We start from the raw sequence: 25208 nt of genomic DNA, 5'->3' as shown, positions 1-25208 counted from the left end.
AGAGCGCTGATTGGTGCGTTTTTACAGAATGCTGATTGGTGCATTTACAATCCTCTAGCTAGACACAGAGCACTGATTGGTGCAAGTATCCACCCGACCCAGAAGCCCAGCTGGCTTCACCTCCCACTAGTATCTTCTTTTGTTTATGTTGTGTATTTTGTGTATCTAGATCACGTTTTAGTAGCTTGTAGTTCCCTGTTACTGGGAAGCATTTCATTGCCTCCCAGCTTGGGAGCATCCAAAGTAGAACCATGACTGGGTCATGAAATGGGTTAATTTGGTTTCTTTCATTACAGGGCAAAGTTCTCCCTGTGGACTGAGAAATAAACATATTATAAAAGTTACATATGCTCATAGAATAGAAATCAAAGAGTAAAAAGTATTGAGTGTAAAAAACAAGTGTCTTTTTTCCCCCCAGTCTAACTCCCCAGAAGTAACCTTTTTTATTTTTTATGTTATTTTTTCTTACCTTCAAGGAAGGAGAAAAGTAACCATTTTTGAGTTGATGCGTATCCTTCGCCTGAGAGCTATCTTTGTAATCATCCTTTTTGGTTCCTTTTTCATTTTTTGCTTTCTTTCTGTCGTAGCTGCTGTGTAATATAGAGAAAAAAAGTATTTTTTCAGCTCTCTCACTCAATTACAATTACACAGAAGGTTTCTGTGACACATTTGTGGGAGTTTCTCCCCACACAGCAAACAGGCAGTCAATTCTGGAGAGAGGTCACCAGGTGGGTGTCCTCTAACCCAATTCAATTCCAACATTGTGTACTCGGAGATAGTGTCAGATCCCACAGGTTGAGGGCTCTGCCCACAAGACTGCCCCCAACTTGCCACACCAATTGCAAGCTCCAGGCTGTTTTACCTGTGCTTCTGGCCAACCGATTATAAATTGGGGTTCCCCACCCCTTTCTTTGGTTCAATTAATTTGCTGGAGCGGCTCACAGAACTCAGGGAAACACTTATTACATTACCGGTTTATTATAAAGGATATTGCAAGGGATACAGATGAAGAGATGCATAGGACAAGATGGGGGAAGGGGTGAGGAGATTCCATACCTTTCCTGGTGTGCAGCTGTCCAGAAACCTCCACCTGTTCAGCTATCTGGAAGTGCCCCAAACCCAGTCCTTTTAAGGGTTTTATGGAAGCTGCATTATGTAGGCACAACTGATTAAACCACTGGCCATTGGAAATCAGTCAGCCTCTCTGCCCTCCTTGGAGGTTGGGAGATGGGACAGAAAGTCCTAACCTTCTAATCCTCCCTTGGTTTTTCAGTGACCAGCCCCTACCCTGAAGCTACCTAAGTGCGCCAGCCACCAATCATTAGCATACAAAATGACACCACTTTGGAAAGGCCAAAGATTTTAGGAGTTGTATGCCAGGAAGGGAGTTGAAGACCAACTATATATTTCACAATATCACAGCTGCCCAGAGTGAGATCGGCAGCCTTTAAGGTATTCATCCAGCTGAATGTTCCCACATGCCCTCAAGTACTTACCACCCAACTCTGTAGCAGTGCACAGTGGACATAAGGTGGTGTTGGCAGTCTCAGTCCTATTTAATGATGGCCAGAGATACCTCCTGGTCAGCCAAAGCCCTGGCTGACTGCCAGGCAGTTGCGCAGTAGCTCTTCCTGTAGTGAAACTGTTCTTCTTATCATTGTTGACTAAACTCTGTTGGAAGTTGTCTCACTAGCCATATGAGCCACAGCTGTCTCTATCCTGAATAGCTTAATGAGCCATAGGTTGCTGACTCCTGGACTGCAGGAACCTTTTAGTTGCCTCTCGCCACAGTTGAATTTCCTTCTGGACCTCCATCTCTCTTCATCACAGTTGTCAACACTTGAGCCTTCTCCCATGTTACTTCTTATGCAGTGTCCCTTCTACTTAACTGTAAGTTTTATAAAAGCAGAAAACCGTCTTATTCAGTTTTTTGCTTATGCAGTAAACATTGAATAATTGTCAAATGAATAAATAATTGTCAAATAAATGAATATATTGAATACCAGCCTTTGGAATTCTTTTTTAAGCTAACATTTATTAGATAAATCATACCTGCTTTATTAGTCTCTGATCCAAGTGTATATCAGTGCAGTCCTGCAGGAATTGGGGAATTTTTCCCCTATCGCATTTTATCCAGCCGTTTTTTCTATTTGGATTGTTGTAGATAGGGTGCTGCCCCATAAGGGAGTGTTTTAGATCAGCGTTTCTCATACTTTAATGTGCCTATGGTTCACCTGAGGATCTTGTTAAAATACAGATTCTGATTCAGTAAGTTTCAGGACAGGGGTGAGAAAATCTACAGTTCTGAAAAGCTTCCAGGTGATGCGGATGTTGCTAGTGACGCAGGGTGGGGTAGGGGACAATAGCAAGGTTTTAGGTGGTCCCCCAATACAGGCTCTTAAATTGCCTTCATGAAGAGAAGTGCCCAAATTCCGGTTTAGTTACAAAGACTATAACTAAAGGATGATGGTTTTAAAATAATAGAGATTTGGAAGAGTTGGGGAATTACTATTACTGCTTTCTGCTATAGTTGACTTGATACCTTCTTTCTAACCTCATGGCATAAATAGACATGCCTTATATAGGCAAGACAATTGTATATTAATCACTGGGTTGTGAGTGCATGCATGGATGAGTGTGAGTGCATGTGTGTGTTTGAGGGGATCTCAGTCTTCCGTGTGTGTACAACCTATAAATGGGACACGTGGCTAGGGAGAAGTAATAGGCAGTGTAGAGCCAGTCTGGCCTGGTTCTCACCCTGACTGGCAAATCTTTCCTCTTCTGTGCTTCAGTTTCTGTATTAAAAGAAAGGTGGGGACAGGGGAGGCCTAACTACATGAGCCCCAAGTTTTCAGCTTTTTTTCAGCTTGAAAATCTATGGTTTGAAGGTGGTAATTTGCAAATCTATCTCTGTGTTATTTGGCATCCCAGGTGTACCTCTGTAAGAAAACATATAAAATGTAGAATTTATAAAACCAATCAATGTAGTAGTGATTTTTCTCATGCCAAAAACTTAGAGGTGATTGCTTTGAGTGGATTGGTGTGTGGAAGATCAAGAAATAAGAGAGCCACTTTCGAGTTAGTGATGAATAATAAATTTGCATCAAAAACTCCTTTGAAATTAGAATTCTATTCTGATTTGGTGGGAAATTTTTTATTTTACAAAAATTTGCTTTTCACCAACTTTTTGGAGCCCAACTATTGTGAAAAATGGAGCAGACTCATATATCATCGTGAAGCTGGTACAAAAAGCAGGTGTTAAATTTGAGGTTACAAAAATCACATCAATAATTTAGAGTGTTCTGACTTAAAAAAACATTATTTGGGATTTAAACTTATAAATTAGCTGTGGAAATAAAGTTCATTATATCACCTCATCTGGTCTAGTTTTATTTCATTAACTGCTTCTTAAAAATCTTTGTGAGCTGAGTTGCAGCTGAAGAGCTTGGAGACCATTTTTCCTTGGGCCCTTGCCGCACTCCTGAGTGTTGGTAAGAGTAAAGAACTAAGTCTTGACACAGCTGTAAAAACAGACAGCGCCTTTGGCCTCAGCACTTTCTCCTGGTGCAGGCAGATTTCAGATGTAAATTTCACTCTCTGCCTCTCCTACTAATGAAGTAAGTTTCTTTTGCTGGGTTTGCAGCCAGGTGTGTCCAGTCTTGTGGCTAACCAGGGCGCTTTACTTAATTTTTCCATTTGTGACATTTCAACCAAACTTAAAAAACAAACATAAAAATTAGCTCACGGCAGTGGCTCAAAGTGTTAATGGTAACCTTAGGCTGGCTAAACGACTTCCTCTCAGTTCTGCCCTGCCAGACATCTCCACCTTGTGGCTCACAATGAGCAGGCTCAAGCTTTCCAAGACAGAGATGGGAAGGGATGGGAGTGGGCTGTAGTTGAGAAATTACAGTTTACCCTTATCAGCGGTCCCTGGCATGCCTGTTGCCTCAGTGAGACTTCTGGAATAAGAATGCACCTTCTGTCACCTCATGGTCCCCTGCTCACTCTCTAGCAGAGCTGCTTGATGGGATGATGCAGAGGGCCTAGGAAAAATGGAGGAACTGTGGGCTGAACTTGACTCTTGTGTAATTCTGCCTTGCTTCTCAGAACCACCATTTTGCTTTGTAAGGTCCTCTACGATCACACTCCAGACCACCTCTCCAAACTCATTTCCTCTAGTTCTTCTTGAACCTTAAATATGTGAAACCTACTAGCACATGTGCCTGGCACTTAGTAAGCACTCAGTGAACATCACATTCCATCCTTGCTTCACATACCCTTCACTCCAGCCAAGCTGAATTCCTTGCTATTTCTGTCTTGTGTCTTTGCTCACTCCATGCATACACCTAGATTGCCCTAACACCCCAGCCTCAATTCCTTCACATCCTTCCACAGCTAACTGGAAGCCAATCCCAGTTTCCCCTAAGGAAGTACCTTAATGATTTATATCTACCCTTCTTCCAGCTCTTACTCTTTCTATTTTGTATCACTGTTATTCACTTATGTTGACTGTCTTCCAGGTGAATTCCTGTGGTGCAGGATCACGTACATCTGTCTCCAAAGTGCCTGTTATTGCCCCTTTCCTGAATAGGTGCCCAGTAACTATCTGAAGAATGAAGGAAGCCAGTCCTGCAGGCCCAGAATGAGTACTGGAAAAAGTGGGGCAGGGAGATACCGTTTTTTATTCTGAGGATATTTGTTTGCTGTGTTAGTCTTAAATATTGGAAGAAAAGGAAATAAATCGTTTCCCCCACCATCAACTGTTCAGTTCCTTTTTCCCATACTTTTCCATCTTCTAATGGAATTACTTGATTTTTTAAAAACCCCAGGTTATACATAGGGTATATTATGTTTATTTTCTTTCTTTCTTTCTTTCTTTTTTTTTTTTTTTTTTTTGACGGAGTCTCTCTCTGTCACCCAGACTGGAGTACAGTGGCGCGACCTTGGCTCACTGCAACCTCTGCCTCCTGGGTTCCAGCGATTCTTCTGCCTCAGCCTCCTGAGTAGCTGGGATTACAGGCGTGCACCATACCCGGCTAATGTTTGTAATTTTAGACAGGGTTTCACCATGTTAGCCCGACTGGTCTCGAACTCCTGACCTCAGGTGATCCGCCCTTCTCGGCCTTCCAAAGTGCTGGGATTACAGGCATGAGCCACCACCACCCCCGGCTGGTATTTTATCTTTCTAAACTAACAAAGGCATTACATTTTAGGAGGCTTTAGTTTTTCTGAAAATTTCCTTTCAGGCCTCTGTAATCACCACCTGTCACCAAATCGCCTCTCTTTCCCTACAAAAATTTTCAGACCTCTTCTATTTTACGATATAAAAATTTTACTGTTTTGCATCTCTAGGTCAGAATTAAAACTCACTGCCAAAGGTATTGTTTTTAAAGACAAGGAGCACATTAAAAGGTATAGTTAGCCTGGACAATGTAGGGAGACCCCATCTTTACAAAAATAAAATTAGCCGGTTATGGTGGCACATGCCTGTGGTCTCAGCTCTGTGGGAGGCTGAGGTGGGAGGATCACTTGGGCCAGGGAGTTTGATGTTGCAGTGAGCTGTGATCACAGTGTTACACTCCAGCTTGGGTGGGGGGAAAAAAGTGTGAGTGTAACTAAAGGACAGTCCCTTGGGCTTGAGGCCATGAAAATAAGAATACATGTTCTCAGATACCAGTTGTTCTTTTGAAAGTTTCTAAAATGGCCTGAGCTGTTGGAGTGGATAGTCAGTTATTAGGGGAGAGAAGGCTAAATTCTAAGAAGTCAGAGTAATTCCATTTTGGGATTGGCTTACGAATTTAAGCAGGGTCCTACTGAACATGTACGTCTGGTAGATACATGCCTTTCTTTACACATGTTTCCTACCCCTAGGCCTTAAGAGGTAGCAAGAGTTCGAGGAGTAGGTGCCTCAGGCAGTTTTACAACTGGTCAGATGCATAGGTGCATACAGTCAGGGTGCCAGTCCTGTCCTGAGTGGCACATCGGACTCTGCGTTACTGCAGCACTACACCAACTTCAGAGATAGAACTTACCATGATGTGCTGTAATTATTGGTTTATATAGATCCCTCCTATTAGAGTGGGTAAGGATGCATATAGAACCCTTGTAGTTACATAGGAGAACGTGCTTGTTCTTAGCAGATACATATTGAAGTATTTAGGGGTAAAATGTTTTGATATCTGGAACTTCAAATGGTTCAGCAAAAGAAAAGGATGTGTAGATGTATGGATAGAGATAAACAAATGTTGCAAAAAAAAATTGTGCATCTAAGATTGTGCAAAATGCTGAATCTTTTGCAACATTTGCTTTATCTCTACCCATACATATACACACCCTTTTCTTTTGCTGAACCATTTGAAGTTGCAGATCTCAAAACAACTTATATGAGTTTTTGTTGTATTACTCTTACATCCTTTAAAAATTCTTTGAAATTCTTCAAAGCAAAAAATTGGAGAGAAAAGAAGTATTCATGTTCTGGCTCCAGCCCATTCTTCTAGTTTAATCTGCAACAAATCATACCCCTTCCCTCCAAAAAAGTTCAAGTGCATGCACACAAATACATATTCTTCTCATGCCAGACTTTCACTGGTGCCGTAAGTGTGCTGTGTTCTTTTATGCCTCTAGGCTTTTGTTTATGCTATTCCGTCTGATCTGGTCTTCTCCCCTGTCTGCTCATGGCACTATAAGACACAAGCTGGATAACACCTCCTCCAAGAAGCTTTTTCCAGTATTCACCAATAATGTTCATATATCTGGCCACTCCCTTCTCTGAACTTACCATGGTGTGCTCATGGTTTATGTAGGTCACTCCTGTTAGATGGGATAAGGATTCTTGGATTTCTGGTGTCTTAAACCACATGCCTACCGTAGTCACTACTCAAATATGTGTTGGATGAACATAAATACTTGCTTCTTTTGTTAGCATCTGGCTAGCCCTGTATTCCAAATACTGACTGAAGAATGATCTTCTCTGATTACACTTGGATTCAATTTCTCTAACTACCCTCCCCCTTTGAAAAAGGTCCGGTTTTTCTCTGCCCTGCCTCATGGGTTCCCTGGCTCTCATTTAAGCCTGGTTATACACTTAATCTGCTTTATAGGATGGATGAACCTTGGAATGTCAGACTGGGTACCTCAGAGGTTCTCTATTCAGCGGTTCTGAGTCTGTGAAGAGGCTCAGGTATATGCATTTTGAAAAATCTCTCCATATATATATATATATTTTTTTTTTTTTTTTTTTTTTTTTTTTTTTTTTTTTCTTTTGAGACGGAGTCTTGCTTTCTCGCCCGGTCTGGAGTTCAGTGTTGTGTGGTGTGGTCTCAGCTCACTGCAACCTCCACCTCCCGGGTTCAAGCGATTCTTCTGCTTCAGCCTCCCAAGTAGCTGGGACTACAGGCTCATGCCACCATGCCAGGCTGATTTTTTACATTTAGTAGAGACGGGGTTTCAGCATGTTGGCCAGGTGGGTCTCAAACTCCTGACCTTAAGTGATCCACCCGCTCGGCCTCCCAAAGTGCTGGGATTACAGGCATGAGCCCCCGTGCCCGGCCCCAAAAGATTTCTAATACATATTTCTGGTTAAGGTTCTACCCTCTCATTTCTGTGGTGAGGAAATGGATGCCCAGAAAAGTTCATTGATTTGGCCAAGGTCATACAGCTAGAGAATAGCAGAATGAGGACCAAGGCCAGATTACACCAATTTCCAGTCCAGTGTCCTCTTTACTATACCATGGTACCTTCCAATTGAAAGAAAGAAACCTTTTCTCCTGTCTTATTACCAAGGACTGCCAAAGACCAAGAGGACAGCTTTTCTTGAATCTAAAGGCATTCCATTTATTTCTTCAGTGCACTCCCAAGCCTGAGGCCTCTTTTACTCAATTTCTAATCCAATACGGCAGAGACTTCCTACTCAACAGGACTAATAGAGATTAAGGGGGAAAAAAAAGACATGAGAATGCTGACAATGTTCTGAATTTGTTTCTTTTTCCATCGTTTAGAGTCTGAGTGTCTCTACATCATCTGAATTTGCCTTAGTTGATTTTACAATTATTTTTCAGAGACTCCTTGGTTGTGTGTTTTTTTTAAGGGTAGAGGAACACCGAGACTGAACACCGTGCTTGAAGGGGCCGGGCCAGGAGACTAACAAAGGCGGTATTATACTGTGTGCGGCAAAGCCAATAAATGAATTCAGGAGACACCTAGATGTGTTTCTAGAGGAGACCGTGACGGGGAGGGGTCTGGTGAAAAGGCAGAAAGGTGGGATTAAGATAAATTAAAATGGGGCCAACATGTTAGATAAGGGGACAGTCTCTTCCTGTTTCCACCATTGCTTTAGATTTCTCAATCTGCTGAGTTCAGAAGTTAAAACTAGTCTTTACCATGTACTTCATACTCAGCCTCCAAGGCCTCCCACTCTTACTTAGGAAAGAACTTAGTTTTAAGGCTATTTCAGCATGGTACAGCAGTGTTTATTACTTGAGTGCTGCATCTGTTGGATGTTACTGGGGAATCTTAGACTGTTTAAACTGGAAAGGAACCCTGAAATAATCTGATCCAGAGATCTAAAAGTGTGGTCCCCAGACCAGCAGCCTCAGCATCGCTTGGGAACTCGTTAGGGATGCTAGCTCAGGCCAGATGTGGTGGCTTAAGCCTGTAATCCTAGCACTTTGGGAGGCCGAGGCGAGTGGATCATGAGGTCAGGGGTTTGAGACCAGCCTGGCCAACATGGTGAAACCCCATCTCTACTAAAAATACAAAAATTAGCCTGGTGTGATGGCATGCACCTGTAGTCCCAGCTACTTGGGAGGCTGAGGCAGGAGAATCACTTGAACCTGGGAGGTGGAGGTTGCAGTGAGCCTAGACTGTGCATTTGCACTCTAGCCTGGGCGACAGAGCAAGACTCTGTCTCAAAAAAAAAAAAAAAGAATGCTAGCTCTAGGGCATACCCTTGATCTTCTGAAAACTGGGGTGGGACCCAACAGTCTGTCTTTTCACCAGCTCTCTAGTTTGAGAACCACTGCTCCTAAACTAATTATATCATTTAGATGATTGGGAAATTGGCTCTGGAAGAGCTGCGTACAAATTAGAAACACTGAAGAGTAGAACTCGGGTGTCTTTGTTGCCACTGTTACTGTTCTCCTCGCTAAGAGGAGCAGGGTCTAGGCATGGGCTAACGACATGTGAAACTTGAGGATTTCAGCATAATTCAGAAGCAGAGTTCCCCAATAGTAATAGCTAACATTTATTGAGCACTTTCTTTTTTTCATGCACTTTACAAGCACCATTTGAATTTTATAACATTTTGCAACAGTCTTACCTGTGAGATTAGTAACATTTCTAGCCTCATTTTACAGATGAGGAAACTAAGGCTCAGAGATAGTTTCCCATAGCAGTTACAGCAGATTACCACAAACTTGGTGGTTTAAAACAACAAAAATTTATTCTCTTACAGTACCGGAGGCCAGAAATCAGTTTCATGGGGCTGAAATTAAGGTGTCGGCAGGGCTGTGCTTCTTCTGGAGGTTCTAGGGGAGACTCTTGCCCCTTCCAGCTCTTGGTGGCTGCTGATGTTCCTTGACTTGTGGCTGCATCACTGCAATTTCTGCCTCTGTAGTCATGTTGCCTTTTCTTCTATCTGAGCCTAAGTTCCTTCCGCCTCTCTCTTAAAAGGAAGGATATGTGTGATGGCATTTAGGGCTCAACTGGGTAATCCAGGATTCCCTCCCCATCTCAAGTGTCTTAATTTGATCACAGCTGCAAAATCCTTTTTTGCCATATAAGGTAACACGCACAGGTTCCAGGAACTGGGACATGGATATCTTTTAGGAGACCAAATTCAGCCTACCTACCACTGTTAGGCAATTTAATTAGACTTACACAGTAAATATGGGAGCCTGGATTGGAACCCAAACCTTCTGGACTCTAGAGCCTGTGCTTTTAATTACTACTCTGTACGAAACTAAAAACTATGGCTCTAGCATTGGCATTAAGATTTTTAACCCAAGTGTTGTTTCTTTCTTCCTCTAACTTCCACAGTATCCACTTGTATTGTAGCATTGAACCTTTCAGTCCATAAGCATCTTAGGTTTTTGTTTTTGTGGGTTTTTTTGTAGAGATGGGTTCTCTCCGTGCTGCCCACACTGATCTTGGACTTCTGTGCTCAAGTGATCCTCCCACCTTGGCATCCCAAAGTGCTGGGCATAAGCCACCACGCCTAGCCAGGCATCTTATATGTTGGTCCTAGCTTCTCCAGTTAGTTAGCTTCTAGAGGGCAGATATTCCATTTTTCTGTTTTTAAAAATAGAGATATAATTTATATCCCATAACATGTAAATTTGCTTTTTAGTAAATTTGCAGCATTATGTACCCATCACCACTATTCCAGAATATTTTAATTACCTCAGATAGAAATCCTGTGCCCATTAGCAGTCACACCCGTTCCCCTTACCCCTAGCCCCTGGAAACCACTATTCTACATTCTGTTTCTATGGATTGACCTATTTGGGACATTTCATATAAATAGGATCATATAATATGCAGTATTTTATGTTTGGCTTCTTTCACTTAGCAGAATGTTTTCAAAGTTCAGTCATGTTGTGGCATATTTTCAGTACTTCATTCCTTCTTTTGTCTTTTTTCTTCTTTTTATTTATTTATTTTTTGCTCAACTCCCCCGACCGACATCATTCCTTTTTGGGATAGTCTGTTGTGTAGATATACCATGTTTTAAAAATCTATTAATCAGTTAATAGACATTTAGTCTTTCCACTTTCCACTTTTTAGCTTTTGTGAATAATGCTTCTGTGAACATTCATATATAAGTTTATGTCTGAACATAAGTTTTCAGCTTTCTTGAGGGGTATACCTAGGAGTGGAACTGCTGGGTCATATGGTGACACTATGTAAACTTTTTGAAGAATTCAGATATTGTGTCTTTTATCAAGTTGTTTGAATTCCTAGATGATTTCCATTGTTCATTTGTTTATAATGAAATTAGATATGTGTTAGTTATAATGAAATTAGTTATAATGAAATTAGATATGTTTATAATGAAATTAGATATGTGACCTTAATCATTACTTATTTTACCGACAATTTTAGACAGTAGTAAGAAGGGACAGTGTGGCATAATGGAACGAGTTCTGCCTGGCCTGGCCACTCTTCGGGTAAGCCTGAGTAAGTCAAATCACATCACCTCTCTGGGGAGGAGAGTTAGATGATTTCTACATTCTCTTCCAGACTTAACATTCTGCAACTCTGTGGAAGTCTGAAAAGCTAGCCTTGTGTTAAGTCCCAGAGCTTGTGTTCTGTTTTTTTAGCAGTTCATCACTCTCTGTCTGATTTCTGTTCCCAGACACAAACAAAGTTTTACCCATCTATCCATCCATTTTATTGTGGCCTGTTAGCTTCCAGGTACTGTGCTAAAAGCACTGGAGATACAAGGATGATTAAGACATTTTCCATGACTCCCTAGTCTAGTAGGAGAAGATAAACATAAACAGATAATTACAATATTAAGAAATTATAATGTTTTTAAATTGCTGAGAATGCCCAGAGTCTCGAGACAGGCTGGGAATAGATGACATTTGAGTTAAATCTTTTCAGATAAGTAGGTGTTTGCTAGACAAGAAGAGAATGCCAGGCAGAGGAACAGTGTGGATAAAGGCACCGAGTTGGTATGAGAAGACAAACAATGTTTGGCTTTGTTTGGTGACATTCTTACTTCTCCTGCAATGGTAAATGCAGATTCTCTTTATCCAGACTAGCTCCATTTTGAGATCCTTGTGTGTGTCTGATATTTACAGACTCATCCACACTTAAGGATCTGAGTAGTAACATGTTTTGTCTTAAGTACTGGTCACACACAGTACTTCTTCCTTCTTTGTTAAGGACACTTCAGACTCGGTTTCTGAGTAAGGGGGTTCACTGAGTAGTTGAGGGGTCATGGTCCAGATTTGGGTTTTCTCCATAGCACCAGCTCAGGTTGGGCTCTTGAAAATGCCTTCTTGTCGCTCTAAGGGTTTTGGTTACATAAAAGTATTAGGAATGTAAAATTTTACAATATGATCAGCACAGCACAAACTAAATTTCTAGCCTTTAACCTAGAAGCATATATGGAAGGCTTTGTGTTCTAAACTGCCCCCTTCCCAGCCCCCGGCCTTCAGGAGAGGTCATTGTACAGCTCTTTCCATGGTCACTGCTCTCTTCACTTTTACTGGAGGGCAAAACTAGGGCAGAGAAATAATTTTTATTCACTTCTGAAAGGTTACAGTAATAAAGAAACTCTTGTTAACATCAGAGAACGTTGCAGCCAAGAGTTTTCACAGTCTGGCATTGTTTATTTTACATGTAATTTGGAACCTTCTGCACTCTTAAAATATTGGCACAAAAATGTTTTAACTCTTGAAGTACTTCTCTGTACACCGCAGTAGTTTGGTGTCAGGGGGCAGCAGGACTCTGGAGAGCCGTTTGCCCTGTTCCTGTTGGAGAGAGAGATGGTATAAGCATGTGTATGTGTGTAACATACACAGTCACTCGTGTATTTATGTGCCCTTCTGCATTGAGAATTAAGAACTTTCTTTGTCCTGATGAATTTCCATGCTTCTCTTTATTAAACAATGAGAATGGTATAGCAGTCCCGCTTTCCTTTTGCCACAACTGCCAAAAAGTACAGCGCTTCCCTTATTTAGATATTTTGATGTAAGTATTCATTATCCCCTTTCTTCTCCCGCCCCCCACAGACTTTATTACTTAAGTCTTTTCTTTTACTTTTATTTTGGTTGCGGTGCATACTATGGGCCAAACTCTGTGCCAGGAATTTTACAGACATCATCTCATTTAATCCTTACAAATTACCTTGTGATAGAGTTGGGAGTGTCCCCATATTACAACTGAGGAGAACCAAGGAGCAGAAAACTTAAAGGACTTGGCTGTGGCCGCCATAGTAAGTCACAAGCCCAGAGCTGACGGATTTCAAAATCTTTGCTCAAAAAAAAAAATTGGCTCTTTTGGCCATAACATGTGCCTTTTGTTGTAATCCAATTTGAACCTTTTTTTTTTGGAAATAGGTAGAATATAAGTAATTATGAGTGAACTAATGGACTAACTGATCCATTGATAGAAGCACAAGTCACTTATGTTAAATGAGATAATAATACACAGAAGTACCTGGCTCCATCAAAGGGTTTTTGTTCTTGTTGTTGTTTTATTAGGTTGAAATTAAGATATGAAACGATTACAGAAGGATGCCTTGAGGTAAGTGGGAAGAATGCTAGGCTGGGGATTAGGTTTCCTATTTCCAGGCTCAACTTTGCTCTCAGAGTTTGGAGGACATTCTCTTTCTCGCATCTGTCTTATGTCCTGTGGGCTTAAAATAGAGCGATTTATTAGCCCAGCCCTTGCTAAGACCTAGGCATTCCCCAGGACTGACCATTTTCTTTGTAACCTGTCTGGTGTGGGGAGCTCTTCTTTCTCCAAGTCTGGCATTTTCTTCCTTGGCCTCCAAAATGGGGCTTTGGCAAAAGAGGCAGCACTTGCTGCCACCAGGTGAGCTCTGCAGAGCTGTCACTAAGCCAGGCCCTTCTCCAGCAGAGGACTCCTTCCCCAGCAAGAGTTCTACTCTGGCTCTGAGAAAAGGATACCGTACTGCATGTGCACTGCAGCCACCATGCCTTCCTGCAGGCTGTGAACCTTCTGTTAAAGCCAGCATGGGAATCCCATACCTTCTAGTCCTGTTCCATTTTCAGTACTTACCAAAGGAGCAAGAAGAGCTCAGGACCTTTCAGCTCTCCTTTACCCAGAGAGAGCTCTGTTCCCTTTTGGAAGACACACCTACCTTTGGCTTCAGATGTCCCCATGATGGAGAATCCCAGTTAGTACATGCACATACAATTCTGGGCCCAGGAAACAGGCCATTCCCCCAAAATCTAGTGAGGGCCCCTGTGTGTTCTGCTGTTCGCCTCTAAAGTGTGGCATTCAGTGCTAGAAAGTTGAGAGGCCGGTGCCCAGTTTTCCAAACAGTTCTTTTCCTGTCATGTGGTCTTTGGAGCCAGACAGACATAGGTTCTAATCTCTGCTCTGCCACAATGTTGCTTTGAGATCCTAGGCAAGTCTCTTTACCTCTCATTGTCTCCATTCCATCCTCTATAAGGTAAGTCACGCACAGTTATGTGACTTAAACAATATGGCTTAGCACAGTGTTTGGCACATATTAAGTACTTGATAAATGGGAGCTATCAGGATGCTGTATTTGGACATTTTCAATAGCACCTAGCATAAGCTGTCATATCTTGAAGGGATTTATAGGTGCATCTGTGACACCACACTGGATTCTGGCTTTCTGGAGGACAAAGATCCTATCTTTCATCCGTCTCCTGTTCTGCCTGGCATGAGTAAGGCACATAGCAGGCACTCAGTTGATGTTGGCTGAATCTTTTAGGATGACTTGGGCAGAGCAGGGTGGGCATAAATGCTTTAGTTTCTCCATCTGTGCCTGGGGAAATAGTAACCCCTTATTTTGGAGCCTTTGAGGACAATTTAAAACGATATGTGTGAAGTGTTTGGAGCCCTTTGAAAGGAGGGTACTGGAGAAATTAATGGTGTTTTTGCTGTTCTTGGGAAAGCCCTTTGTGGTTCCCAGTGAATAAATTACTTGGAGTGAGTTTTCTCACACCTCCTACTCTGCTCTGTTCACCGTAGCTTTTTTTTTTTTTTTTAAATAACTGTCTGCTGTAATACTTCTTTGCCCATGACTTATAAAGATATATATTTTTGGTGTTGGACTTTTGACCCCTTTCTGCTCCCAGGAGAGAAATTTTGATCAGAATAATAAAAGGTGTAAACTGTGTGTGTTGCCCCCTTTCCTAGGCCTTGGGCAGTTTAGCTGCTGGGGTTAGGAATCAGCTGGCTTGTGGTATGTGTATGGTTATGGGGCAAGTAGGAGATGATTCCTGTTAAGCGCTGAGCAGGCTTCTGTCTCCTGCTCTTCTTTTCATCCCTGTCCCATACCGTTTTGCTAAGATTCTTCAGATTTCAAATGAACCTTGTTGTCTTTGGCATTTTCGATAGGTGTTTGTGGCTATACTCCTTCTCCTTCAAAGACAGAAGGTGTTTATCGTCTCCTGTGCTTTAGGTCCCAAGGTGAGTTGGCTGCCAGAGAAGAGCCTCCCTCTAGAAGGACAGTGGGAGAACTGAAAAACACTCACCAATCTTGGAGCTACAAGAGTGGAGTTAGACTTAGTTCCACAATTAACCAGCAGGCTCCAATGCAGAGCCTGGACCAGGTTATTTCTAAGGGCCTTTCCTGCTTGAAAAAAAATCCATGAGATAAAAATTTTCCAGCCCAGGGTAGAATTTCCAAGAGTGAACACAGTTTGCAAAACTTTCTACTTTTCTCCAAGCCTCTCTTGCCCTGTAGCACTGGAAGAACTGGCTCCGTCCCTAATAGCCTCAGTTCAAAGGGACCAGAAGAGACTAGGGTAGTTGGGGACAAATGTGGGGTTCATAACGTACTAGGGGTATCTCGTCTGATGAAGTGGTTGGGTATGGATGTCAGAAGAATCTCACTTGGTGATGATCCTCAGGAACTATGTAAAGGAATTTTAGATTGCCCTGGCTGATGGCAGGAAGCCCCACCCAGGGCTAGCCCTAGCTGGTCAGAATTGCCAAGCAGTCAGTGTTTTTATTTTATGCCATCTCCTAATCATTTCAGTGGCCGCCAAGCTCCTAGAAGCTTGACAGCCACAAAGATGATCCTAATTCAACCCTTTCCAAGTGAGGACACTCAGTCCTGGTCAGGAAAAAGGCTTGGTCAGTGTCATATAGTAGCGGTAGTAGCAGAGACTAAAACTCACTTCTCTTGATTGATTCTGTTGCTCTTTTCGTTACTTGATACTATCATCTTTGCTGTTCTCTAGAGCCACTACACACACCCTGCATTTTGTGTTGCTGGGAAAAGCCTCCAATCAAAGACCTCCTGATCCTTTTCTCTTAAGGTCAGCATTCCAGTGTCTAGCACAGTGCTTAGCACATGGTAAGCCTCCATCCAATATTGGTTGAATGGTGAATGAGTGAGTGAACTCACAGAGTCTATTCCTAACCCTATCTTCTTAGAATCAATTCTATACTTACACTGCAGTTTACCTGATTAAATTCATGCCAAATCGTTAAGGGTTGCCAACAGGATCTGTTTTAATGGTCCCAGATAACTCTTGCATTTTAACCAGAGTTTTCTGTAAATAGCGTCTTTGGAAAAAGCAGTGGTTGCAGTAGTAAGACATACAGGCACTGTGACGAGCTCTTGGGGTTGACTATGCCTCTCACTCCATGTCCTACCACAAGACTCTTTTCTCCTGTGGGCTTAACCCCTGCATTGGGTACCACCAGAGGGCAGTAGCTCCGCCAGGATCTGGGTGGGGCTATGTAAAAAAGTTCTGGAGGCTCTGAGGTCAGACCTAGGATACAGTAGAGACAGATGTTTCTTTCAGCTGCCCTGGGTGTGCCATGAGTATTTCTGGATCCATTGATGAGGCAGCTGTAACACTCTTTTCTCACTTTGTTTCCCCCAAAATGCTGAGTGAATGGCCCTGTGGGGTTGGTTGGAGCTGAAGGGGCCCAGCTAGAGTGGAGGGACTTGTTTTTCCATGTTCATTGTCCTCTCTTTAGCTGGTCTTTCTGAATGTCAGTGATCCTTGCCATCAATGTGACGTGCCTGGTTCTCAAAGGAGCAGGAGGAACTATAAGGAGCCCTTCTTTAAAACAACCACTATCAGGGCCTCAACTGTCCTACTGATGCTCAGATCCAGTCCTGACCTCTCACCTAAACTCACTGTCGGCTGCTTCTTCACTGGTCCTCCTGCCTCTTGACTCTCTTCATCTCAGATTCATTCTGCAAATCATTCAGCAGCCTGACTAATCATCCTAAACTCCCGGAGTTCGGGAATTGTCTCTTGTTTACTGCTGTAGCCTCAGCTCCTAAAACAGTGCTTGATGCCTGGGTAGTGCTGAATACATTTGATGAAGGCAATATTGAATGTATTTCCTCTAGATCCAGTAGCATTATTAATTTGTATGGTTTTATTAAGAATTGTTTCATTCATTTATTCAAGGAACATTTTTGTCTCTCGCCACATGCTAATCCCTGAATGTGGTTGGTAGATAATATACCAGAGATAAGTGATCTTACAGGGCTTACAATCTAGTTTATGCTGAGAAAGGAAGTTGAATCTTTCCTGGATTCACTTCCACACGAAACAGACGAACGAGAAAGATATGAGTTCACTTGCTTTTTTGTTTTGTGTTCACTGCAGGCTTCTTCCAGGAGTTATCCCAGGGCAGGGCTGAGTGTAATGGGAGGATGAGGCAGGAGAGTAGGTGAGCCCCAAGGTCCTGAGAGAAGCTTCAGAGACTTCCAGGCTCTCATCTCCAAGTGGGGGATTGGGTTGAGTTTATAACCTCCTTTCCAATGCAGTATCACAGAGTAGTTGAGAGTGCTCACATACTGAAGCCAGTTTGGACTCAAATCCTGCCCTAGCCATGTGACCTTGGGCAAGGTCTCTATGCCTGTTTCCTTTCTATGCCTCAGTTTTCTCTCCGTAAAATAGACATAACTGTAATACCCACCTTACATCGCTTGTAGCATTGTGAGGGATAAATGAGTTATCACATGTGAGGTTCTTTAAACAATGCCTGAGAGTGAAATAGATGTTTGCCACTACTAATTTACTTACTGTTAGGCATTTTCATCTGTTAATATGAAAAGGAAAAAGGAAAGGTGGTTTTGCATAGTTGTGATGGAAAAACTGAGGCTCAGAGTGATTAATCTTTCAGACTCACCAGGTGGGGAAACAGGGCTGTTGGGGCCCAAAATTTACTTAGATTTCAGTGCGTTTCCTAGGTCTGAGTTGGGACTTAAATACAGAACACCAAAGAGATCATCTCTTTAACATACAGCATTCTAACTGAGTTTGTCTCTTTCCTTTGGATAAAATACCTTTCTAAGAACATTTTACTGAGAAAAGAGGACAAAAGAGAATTACCCTATAAAGATGGAGTCACTCTCAGAACTCACAGGCTGTGTCAGTTCCATGCTTTTTTTTTTTTTTTTCCTTTTTTTGTGAGACAAAGTCTTGTTCTGTTGCCCCGGCTGGATTGCAGTGGCGTAATCTCACCTCACTGCAATCTTTGCCTCCTGGTTCAAGCAATTCTCCTGCCTCAGCCTCCCTAGTAGCTGGGACTACAGGCACCCACCACCATGCCCAGCTAATTTTTGTATTTTTAGTAAAGAAGGGGTTTCACCATGTTGGCCAGGCTGGTCTCAAACTCCTGACCTCAGGTGATCTGCCTGCCTTAACCTCCCAAAGTGGTGGGATTACAGAGGCATGAGCCACTGCACCCGGCTCTGTCAATTCCATTTTAAGGGATATCTGAACCTCACTCTTGGCCTCAACCTTGACCACCTCACTACTTAAGTAAGAATGATCATATGGCTTCTACCTGGGATCCAGGCTCAGCCATTCCCAGGATGCTTCTACAGGAATGTACAAACTATCCACTGAGTGGCAATTCTGTTTGAGCCTTAAAACAAACAAAAAAACTTGGACTAGGAGCCAGAAGACCTTGTCTCTGTGAACCTCTTGACCATTTATTAGCCAAGTGATAATTGGGTGAGTCACTTGACCTTTCTGAGCCTTTGCTTCCTCATGTCTTCAGCAGGGAACAGCCTCTTTCTCAGATAACCATTGGGTCAGTATTTTGGCAATTGTACAGCTCTGAACAGTGAGCAGTTAGGACACAGCAGTGAAAGACAAACATTCTGTGACCTGTGTGAAACAATGTAAATGTCTGCTTTACTGTTTTGAGCTTTAGACTTTGGTCTGACCCATTGTGCCCAGGTGGAGTTAGCAGTTAACTCCTGTGATTCAGTTCATTAGGGTGACCCCGCCCCTTTCACTCTTCATTGCTGTGGAGAAGAAGAAGGCAGGGCTGTTGGATGAAGGGTCAGGAACCTCAAGATCAGTAAGGGGCTAAATTTTGGGTCCTCTGAGAAAATGTTGCCATCTGGGCAATATGATATCTATTTTAGGATCGCTGGGAAAGGACTCGGGTCAGTGATCTCAGTGTTGCCTTTAGATCCTCTAGGTTGTTCAGGGCCTCAGCATCCATGACAAGTGACAGTGGCTCAGCTCTATTAGCAAAGAACTGACCAACTTGTTGATCTATATTCACCTGTTTGCCTTTTGTGTCTGTGCAGTTGACATGGTTGGTAGTGATGTGGAACAAGCATCCTGTAGTTTTCCACTGTACCCAGTCTGCCTAAATTTAATAGAAAATAATTAAAAAAGCCAAGTAGTGCCTGCAGCTTTTCTGCGCTCATAAATGCAGTCATGAGGCTCAGGGTGCAATTAGCAGCCTCCAAGTGTCTCTGGAAACCTGAGTGTGTCAGCGTCTTCTTGCTGACGGTAATCAGACCTCATGGCTGCAGTCAGAATGCAGAGGGCCCGGAGTAATGATACCGACCTACATGTAGTGAACAAATTACTGGAAAAGGGGCTCAGGCTCCTAGGCCCTGGTGTGTTATGCCTGTGCTCCACTGGAGACGCCTGCCGGGCTCAAACTAAATACACATCTTGCTCATATTACATCTTATCCAAGTAAGATTTTCCATTACCACAACATAGGAGACATGAAGGGCATGGTGATTGCTAAAATCATACAAGACTGGTTGTCTGCGCTTGGCACTGCCAGGGTCAGAAAGTCATCAGTGTATGATTGCATATAACTTGCATTCCGTTTTCATCTTTCTGTTCTCTCCACTTTCTTCAGTGAGGTCTGATTACATGCAAGTCATGGCCTCCCCTTTCCTCCTCCTCATCTACTCGATAATCAAATCCCGTTGCTCTGGCTGTAGTCATTTCTCTTGAAAGCATGCCTTCCTCTTTGTTCGTGTTGTCACTTCACATTGTTTCAGTTCCTTACAGACTCTCATCTACACCATTGTAGCAGCCTCCTCTGGTTTTCCTGCCTCTGGACCTTCCCCCAACTTTGTGATCTGTACTTCTAGGGTTACTTTTTGAAAATAAATCTGTCCATGCAATTTCCCTGTGCTTAAACCCCTTCCTTGTTCTTTCTTTCATGTGGCTGGCGTTCAGGGCCATTTACAATCTCACACAAACTGCCCTTCCAGCTCCACCTTCTGATTCTTGCCACCATGAGCAGCTTCTGTGTTTTTTTGTTTTTTTTGTGTGTGTTTTTTTGTTTTTTTTTTTACAAACTTCCCTTTGAAAATGCTGTACTTGTTCACCTCCCTGTGCCTTTACACATACCATTCTTTCTGTCTGAACATACCTGTTGACCCTTTAATACCCACTGTAATAAATGTTGCCTCTTCTCTCAAGCCTTTCAGTCCCTATACCATTACCGTTTTGTACATACAACGTGCTAGGTGTGTCTCCCACGTGAGATTGTAAACTTCTTGAGGACAAGTACTGTGTTTTATTGATTTTTTTACCTCCAGCATATACCACAGTAGAATACAGCAGTTACTCAATACGTGCTTATCAAACATGTACAATGCAACGTAGAATTCTGTACCAAGACCGTTTATAGTCTGGTGAGGAACATCAGTTAGCTCATGATACCACTGTGCCAAATGGATAAGTGTCCTAAGAGAGGCTTTAATACACACATGGTTAAGTCACAGATTGAAATGCCTGTCTGAGAAGAACTGTTTGTAACTGGGATTTCCTTTATTGTGGTAAAATATACATACATAATATTTATCATTTTAACCATTCATAAATGCTCAATTCAGTGGCATTAAGTACATTCACAGTGTTGTGTAACAATTTTCATTATCTATACCCAAAACATTTTCATTATCCCCAACAAAAACTCTGTGCCCATTAAATAATAATTTTCCCTTTCTTCCTCCCATCAGCCCCAGGTAGACTATTCTTCTTTCTGTCTCTGAAGGTACCTAAGTACCTCATATAAATCAAATTATACAATATTTGTCCTTCCATGTCTGACTTATTTCATTAAGCATAATGCATTTATGAGTGCATTTTTAAGGTCCATCCATGTTATAGCATATATCAAAATTTTATGCCTTTTTATGGCTGAATAATATCCCTTGGTATGTGTGTACCACATTTTGTTTATCCCTGTCATTGGACACTTGGGTTGTTTCCACCTTTTGGCTATCATAAATGATACTACTATGAAAATTGGTGTACAAATATATCAGTTCCAATTCCCGCTTTCAATTCTTTTGGACATATAGTTAGGAATGGGATTGCTGGGCTATATGGTAGTTCTATGTTCAGCCTTTTGAGAAACCGCCAAACTGTTTTCCACAGTGGCTGTACCATTTTACATTTTCTTCAACAATGCATGAGGGTTTCAGTTTTTCTACATCCTTGCCAATACTTATTTTTCTTTTCTTTTTAAATTATAGCCATCCTAGTGGGTGTAAATGGAATTATCTTGCTCGGCCAGGTGCGGTGGCTCACGCCTGTAATCCCAGCACTTTGGGAGGCCAAGGCGGGCAGATCACAAGGTCAGGAGATCGAGACCATCCTGGCTAACACGGTGAAACCCCGTCTCTACTAAAAATACAACAAATTAGCTGGGCGTGGTGGTGGGCACCTGTAGTCCCAGCTACTCTGGAGGCTGAGGCAGGAGAATGGCGTGAACCTGGGAGGCAGAGCTTGCAGTGAGCAGAGATGGCGCCACGGCACTCCAGCCTGGGCAAGAGTGCAAGACTGCGTCTCAAAAAGAAAAAGAAAAAAAAATTAGCTGGGTGTGGTGGTGCGTGCCTGTAATCCCAGCTACTTGGGAGGCTGACTTTAGCTAATTTAAGCAAACAAAGGATTTATTGGAAGGTAACTAAGGCTCATGGAATGGAGAGTTTAACAACAGAGCTCAGGAAGGAAAGATACAGGGCAGCTAAGGGATCTTAGCAATAGGAACTTATGTATAGTCTCTTTGGGGTGACCCAACTTTACTATTTTATTTATTTATTTTTTAGAAATGAGGTCTTGCTGTGTTGGCCAGGTTGGTCTTTAATTCTTGGCCTCAAGCAGTTCTCCTGCCATGGCCTTCCAAAGTGCTAGGATTACAGGCATGAGCCACTGTGCCCTGCCAAGGGTGATCCAACTGTAGCTTCCTTTTATATTTGGTTGTTTGTACTCTCAGAAGCAAGAGTCAGATTAGCTAAGCTTCAGCTATGTGCCCATCTCTGTGATGAGAGGACAGCATTCTAGGATCAACAGCCTGCCAACTCGTGGAAATGGGAAAGAGTAGGTCCTGAACATAAGGAAGAAATGCAGAGAGAGAAACCTCAGTGTCACAGTACTTCTAAGATCTACTGACCCATTGAGGCAGATGATGGAGGCAACCTGACCAATCCATGGAATAGCCTCTGGGTGTTTCTCTTGGCCATAGAATCTTGAACGCCCTGGCCTGTGACCAGTGCCAACCCATTGTAACCATATATATCTGACATTCTTTCTTGAAACCTCTCTGGTTTCTCCATGTTCATTCTTAAGTACGGTTGGTAAGACAAAGACTTTTGACTATTAAAATAAATGAGGGGAGAAAACTTTTTGACCTTTGCATATGGCTTTTCCTTTAATATAGATAATAATAATTACCTTTTCATATTTCTGATTTATCTGTTCATGAGAAAGATTTGCTCTGGGATGCTATTACATCTACTTGGTCAGACCCTTGCTTCATCCTGTTATTTTTTTATTTTGATATAGACATAATACTGTGCATTTGACCTTGTCGAATCTCATCTTCTTTTTAAGGACAGTTTTTCTAAATTTAAAAAGAGTCTATTTTACTCTTGCTTTCCAAAGTGCAGAAATGAGCAATTTTAGCTTTGTGCTTGTGTGATTCTTCCATTTCTCATATGACTCATCAGAAGCAGAAAGGTGTGATCGCTTAGAAAAGACAGTAGATTGGGGCCGGGCGCGGTGGCTCACGCCTGCAATCCCAGCACTTTGGGAGGCTGAGGCAGGCGGATCACAAGGTCAGGAGGTCAAGACCATGCTGGCTAACACGGTGAAACCCCGTCTCTACTAAAAATACAAAAAATTAGCCGGGCATGGTGGTAGGCGCCTGTAGTCCCAGCTACTCAGGAGGCTGAGGCAGGAGAATGGCGTGAACCCGGGAGGCGGAGCTTGCAGTGAGCCGAGATGGTCCCACTGCACTCCAGCCTGGGTGACAGAGCAAGACTCCGTCTCAAAAAAAAGAAAAGACAGTAGATTTAGAGACTGACCATCTGAGTTAAAAGTCCCAGCACTGTCACTTACAAGCAGGATGTGATTTGACTACAAGTGACTTAACGTTTTTGTTTTTGTTTTTGTTTTTGTTTTTTGAGACAGAGTCTTGCTCAGTTGCCAGGCTGGAGTGCAGTGGCACAATCTTGGCTCACTGCAACTTCTGCCTCTCGGGTTCAATGGTTCCCCCGCCTCAGCCTCCTGAGTAGCTGGGACTACAGGTATGCGCCACTATGCCCAGCTAATTTTTTGTATTTTAGTAGACATGGGGTTTCACTATGTTGGCCAGGCTGGTCTCGAACTCCCGACCTCAGGTTATCGGCCCACCTCAGCCTCCCAGAGTGCTGAGATTACAGGCGTGAGCCACCGCACCTGGCCACTTAACAGTTTTGAGCTTCTGTTTCCTTGTTTATAGAATCAGGACAACAATAGCATTTTGGCTGTGAGCTCCTCGAGGGCAGGGTTGTGGTTGTGAGGCACAAATAAGATAATAAAATGAAAATATTATTAAATGCATTGTGTAATCATTGTTACGACCATCACTGTCATCATTATTATCAGTACGGATTTTAGATAGTACCCAGGATTATTTCCTTTAGGACTCCGCACCATCAGTGCTGTTGTTGAAACTGCGACTCTTTCAAGCCAGGTGTTGGCTTCTCTAATGAGTATGCATGAGACTTGTCATGTGGAATACTACAAAAAGCTTCCAGAAACCAAAGTAGATTATAGCTATAATGTTCCCCTTATTCAAATGCCCTAAAAGAGACGAAAGTTAAATTGCCATGGTAGTTTGATCATCCCAGAACCGTAGTGTACCTCATCAGCTCCTTTTGAAGATGATTGTGGACTTAATATTATGTGTTCTCATGTTTTCTCAACTGGACAAATGACTAGAATTTCTGAGGACATACATCTCTTCTCTCTTGGCTATTTTCCAAGCCTGAGGGAAGGACTCCTGTACTTCGTGACTATATAGAAATTAGGGCTGCTGGTTCTGCAATTCTGTCTGCCAACCATGTCCCTTGTTTTTCAGCACATTATCAGGCTATGCAGTCTTGAACATGTAGATCCCAAGCAGCAAAACTAGAATTTTCAAAATAAATAAGAAAGGGGTTTGTATTATTATTACTATGTTGTAGAGACAGGACCTCACTTTTTTGTCCAGGCTAGTCTTGAACTCCTGGCCTCAAGTGATCCACCTGCCTTGGCCTCACAAAGCATGGGGATTATACACGTAAGCCACCTTGCCCAGCCAATAAGGGAATATTTTTAAACAGCATGTCATCATAGCAAGCTTCCCTTGTACATTAAAAGTTTGAAATGTTTAAAATGGATTTTAAAATGGACCTCCTCATGCTGGGTTTAGGTTGGCCTTTCATCGCAACGGGAACATACTCTATTTAAATGTTCACATTATTTTCTAAAAAGAGAAAAAGAAATTGTCTTTCATTTAAAATATTTTTCTTTTTATTCTTGGTATTAACAACTTTTTCTGGAACTGCTCAATATGCATGCGTGCCTGAGCGTGCGCGCGCGCGCGCGCACACACACACACACACACACACACACACACAGTTTTGTTTGTATTTTGTCATCATTGCTAAAAGACCCTCAATAGATCTTTCAGTCGTAATGCATGTGAGTTAACAGGTAGACTTTTTTATTTGGTCTCTCCATGTCCCCCGTCTCTCTTGTCTGTCTACTCTTACTCTGTTTCTAAGTATCTCACAAAATATTCCACAGTGGGCTAATTTCTAACCTGAACTTTAAATAGGCTAGCTGATGTTCAGTGCACATCAGCCTGTTGCCGCACAATGACTGTAGAACATGGCGTTGGCACTGCAAAGCATTGGTGGTGGCATTACTGTCTACTACAGCAAACTAAAACATGACCTACAATCTTGTGTTGCATTGTTGCCT

At 42.4% G+C, this 25208-nt stretch overlaps 1 protein-coding gene across 9 annotated transcripts in view, besides 2 other annotated features; it reads left to right on the top strand.

The window, feature by feature from the left end:
• The window catches only part of UQCC1 (ubiquinol-cytochrome c reductase complex assembly factor 1), a 109396-nt gene that overhangs the window by 65859 nt on the left and 18329 nt on the right, over window positions 1-25208 (top strand). The gene's annotated exons all lie outside the window — the stretch shown is intronic.
• Window positions 1515-1809: a silencer, noted in NCBI's record as "tiled region #14546; HepG2 Repressive DNase unmatched - State 25:Art". NCBI's record gives its function as "represses a minimal TATA promoter and a strong SV40 promoter by Sharpr-MPRA in HepG2 cells {active_cell/tissue: HepG2}" and the evidence as "EXISTENCE:reporter gene assay evidence [ECO:0000049][PMID:27701403]".
• Window positions 1515-1809: an enhancer, noted in NCBI's record as "tiled region #14546; K562 Activating DNase unmatched - State 5:Enh". NCBI's record gives its function as "activates a minimal TATA promoter and a strong SV40 promoter by Sharpr-MPRA in K562 cells {active_cell/tissue: K562}" and the evidence as "EXISTENCE:reporter gene assay evidence [ECO:0000049][PMID:27701403]".

This window comes from Homo sapiens, chromosome 20 (assembly GCF_000001405.40).
Source record: "Homo sapiens chromosome 20, GRCh38.p14 Primary Assembly".
NCBI classification, from domain to species: Eukaryota; Metazoa; Chordata; class Mammalia; order Primates; family Hominidae; genus Homo; species Homo sapiens.
Note: the sequence above shows the minus strand (reverse complement) of the source record. Positions and strands in the feature narration are given on the sequence as shown.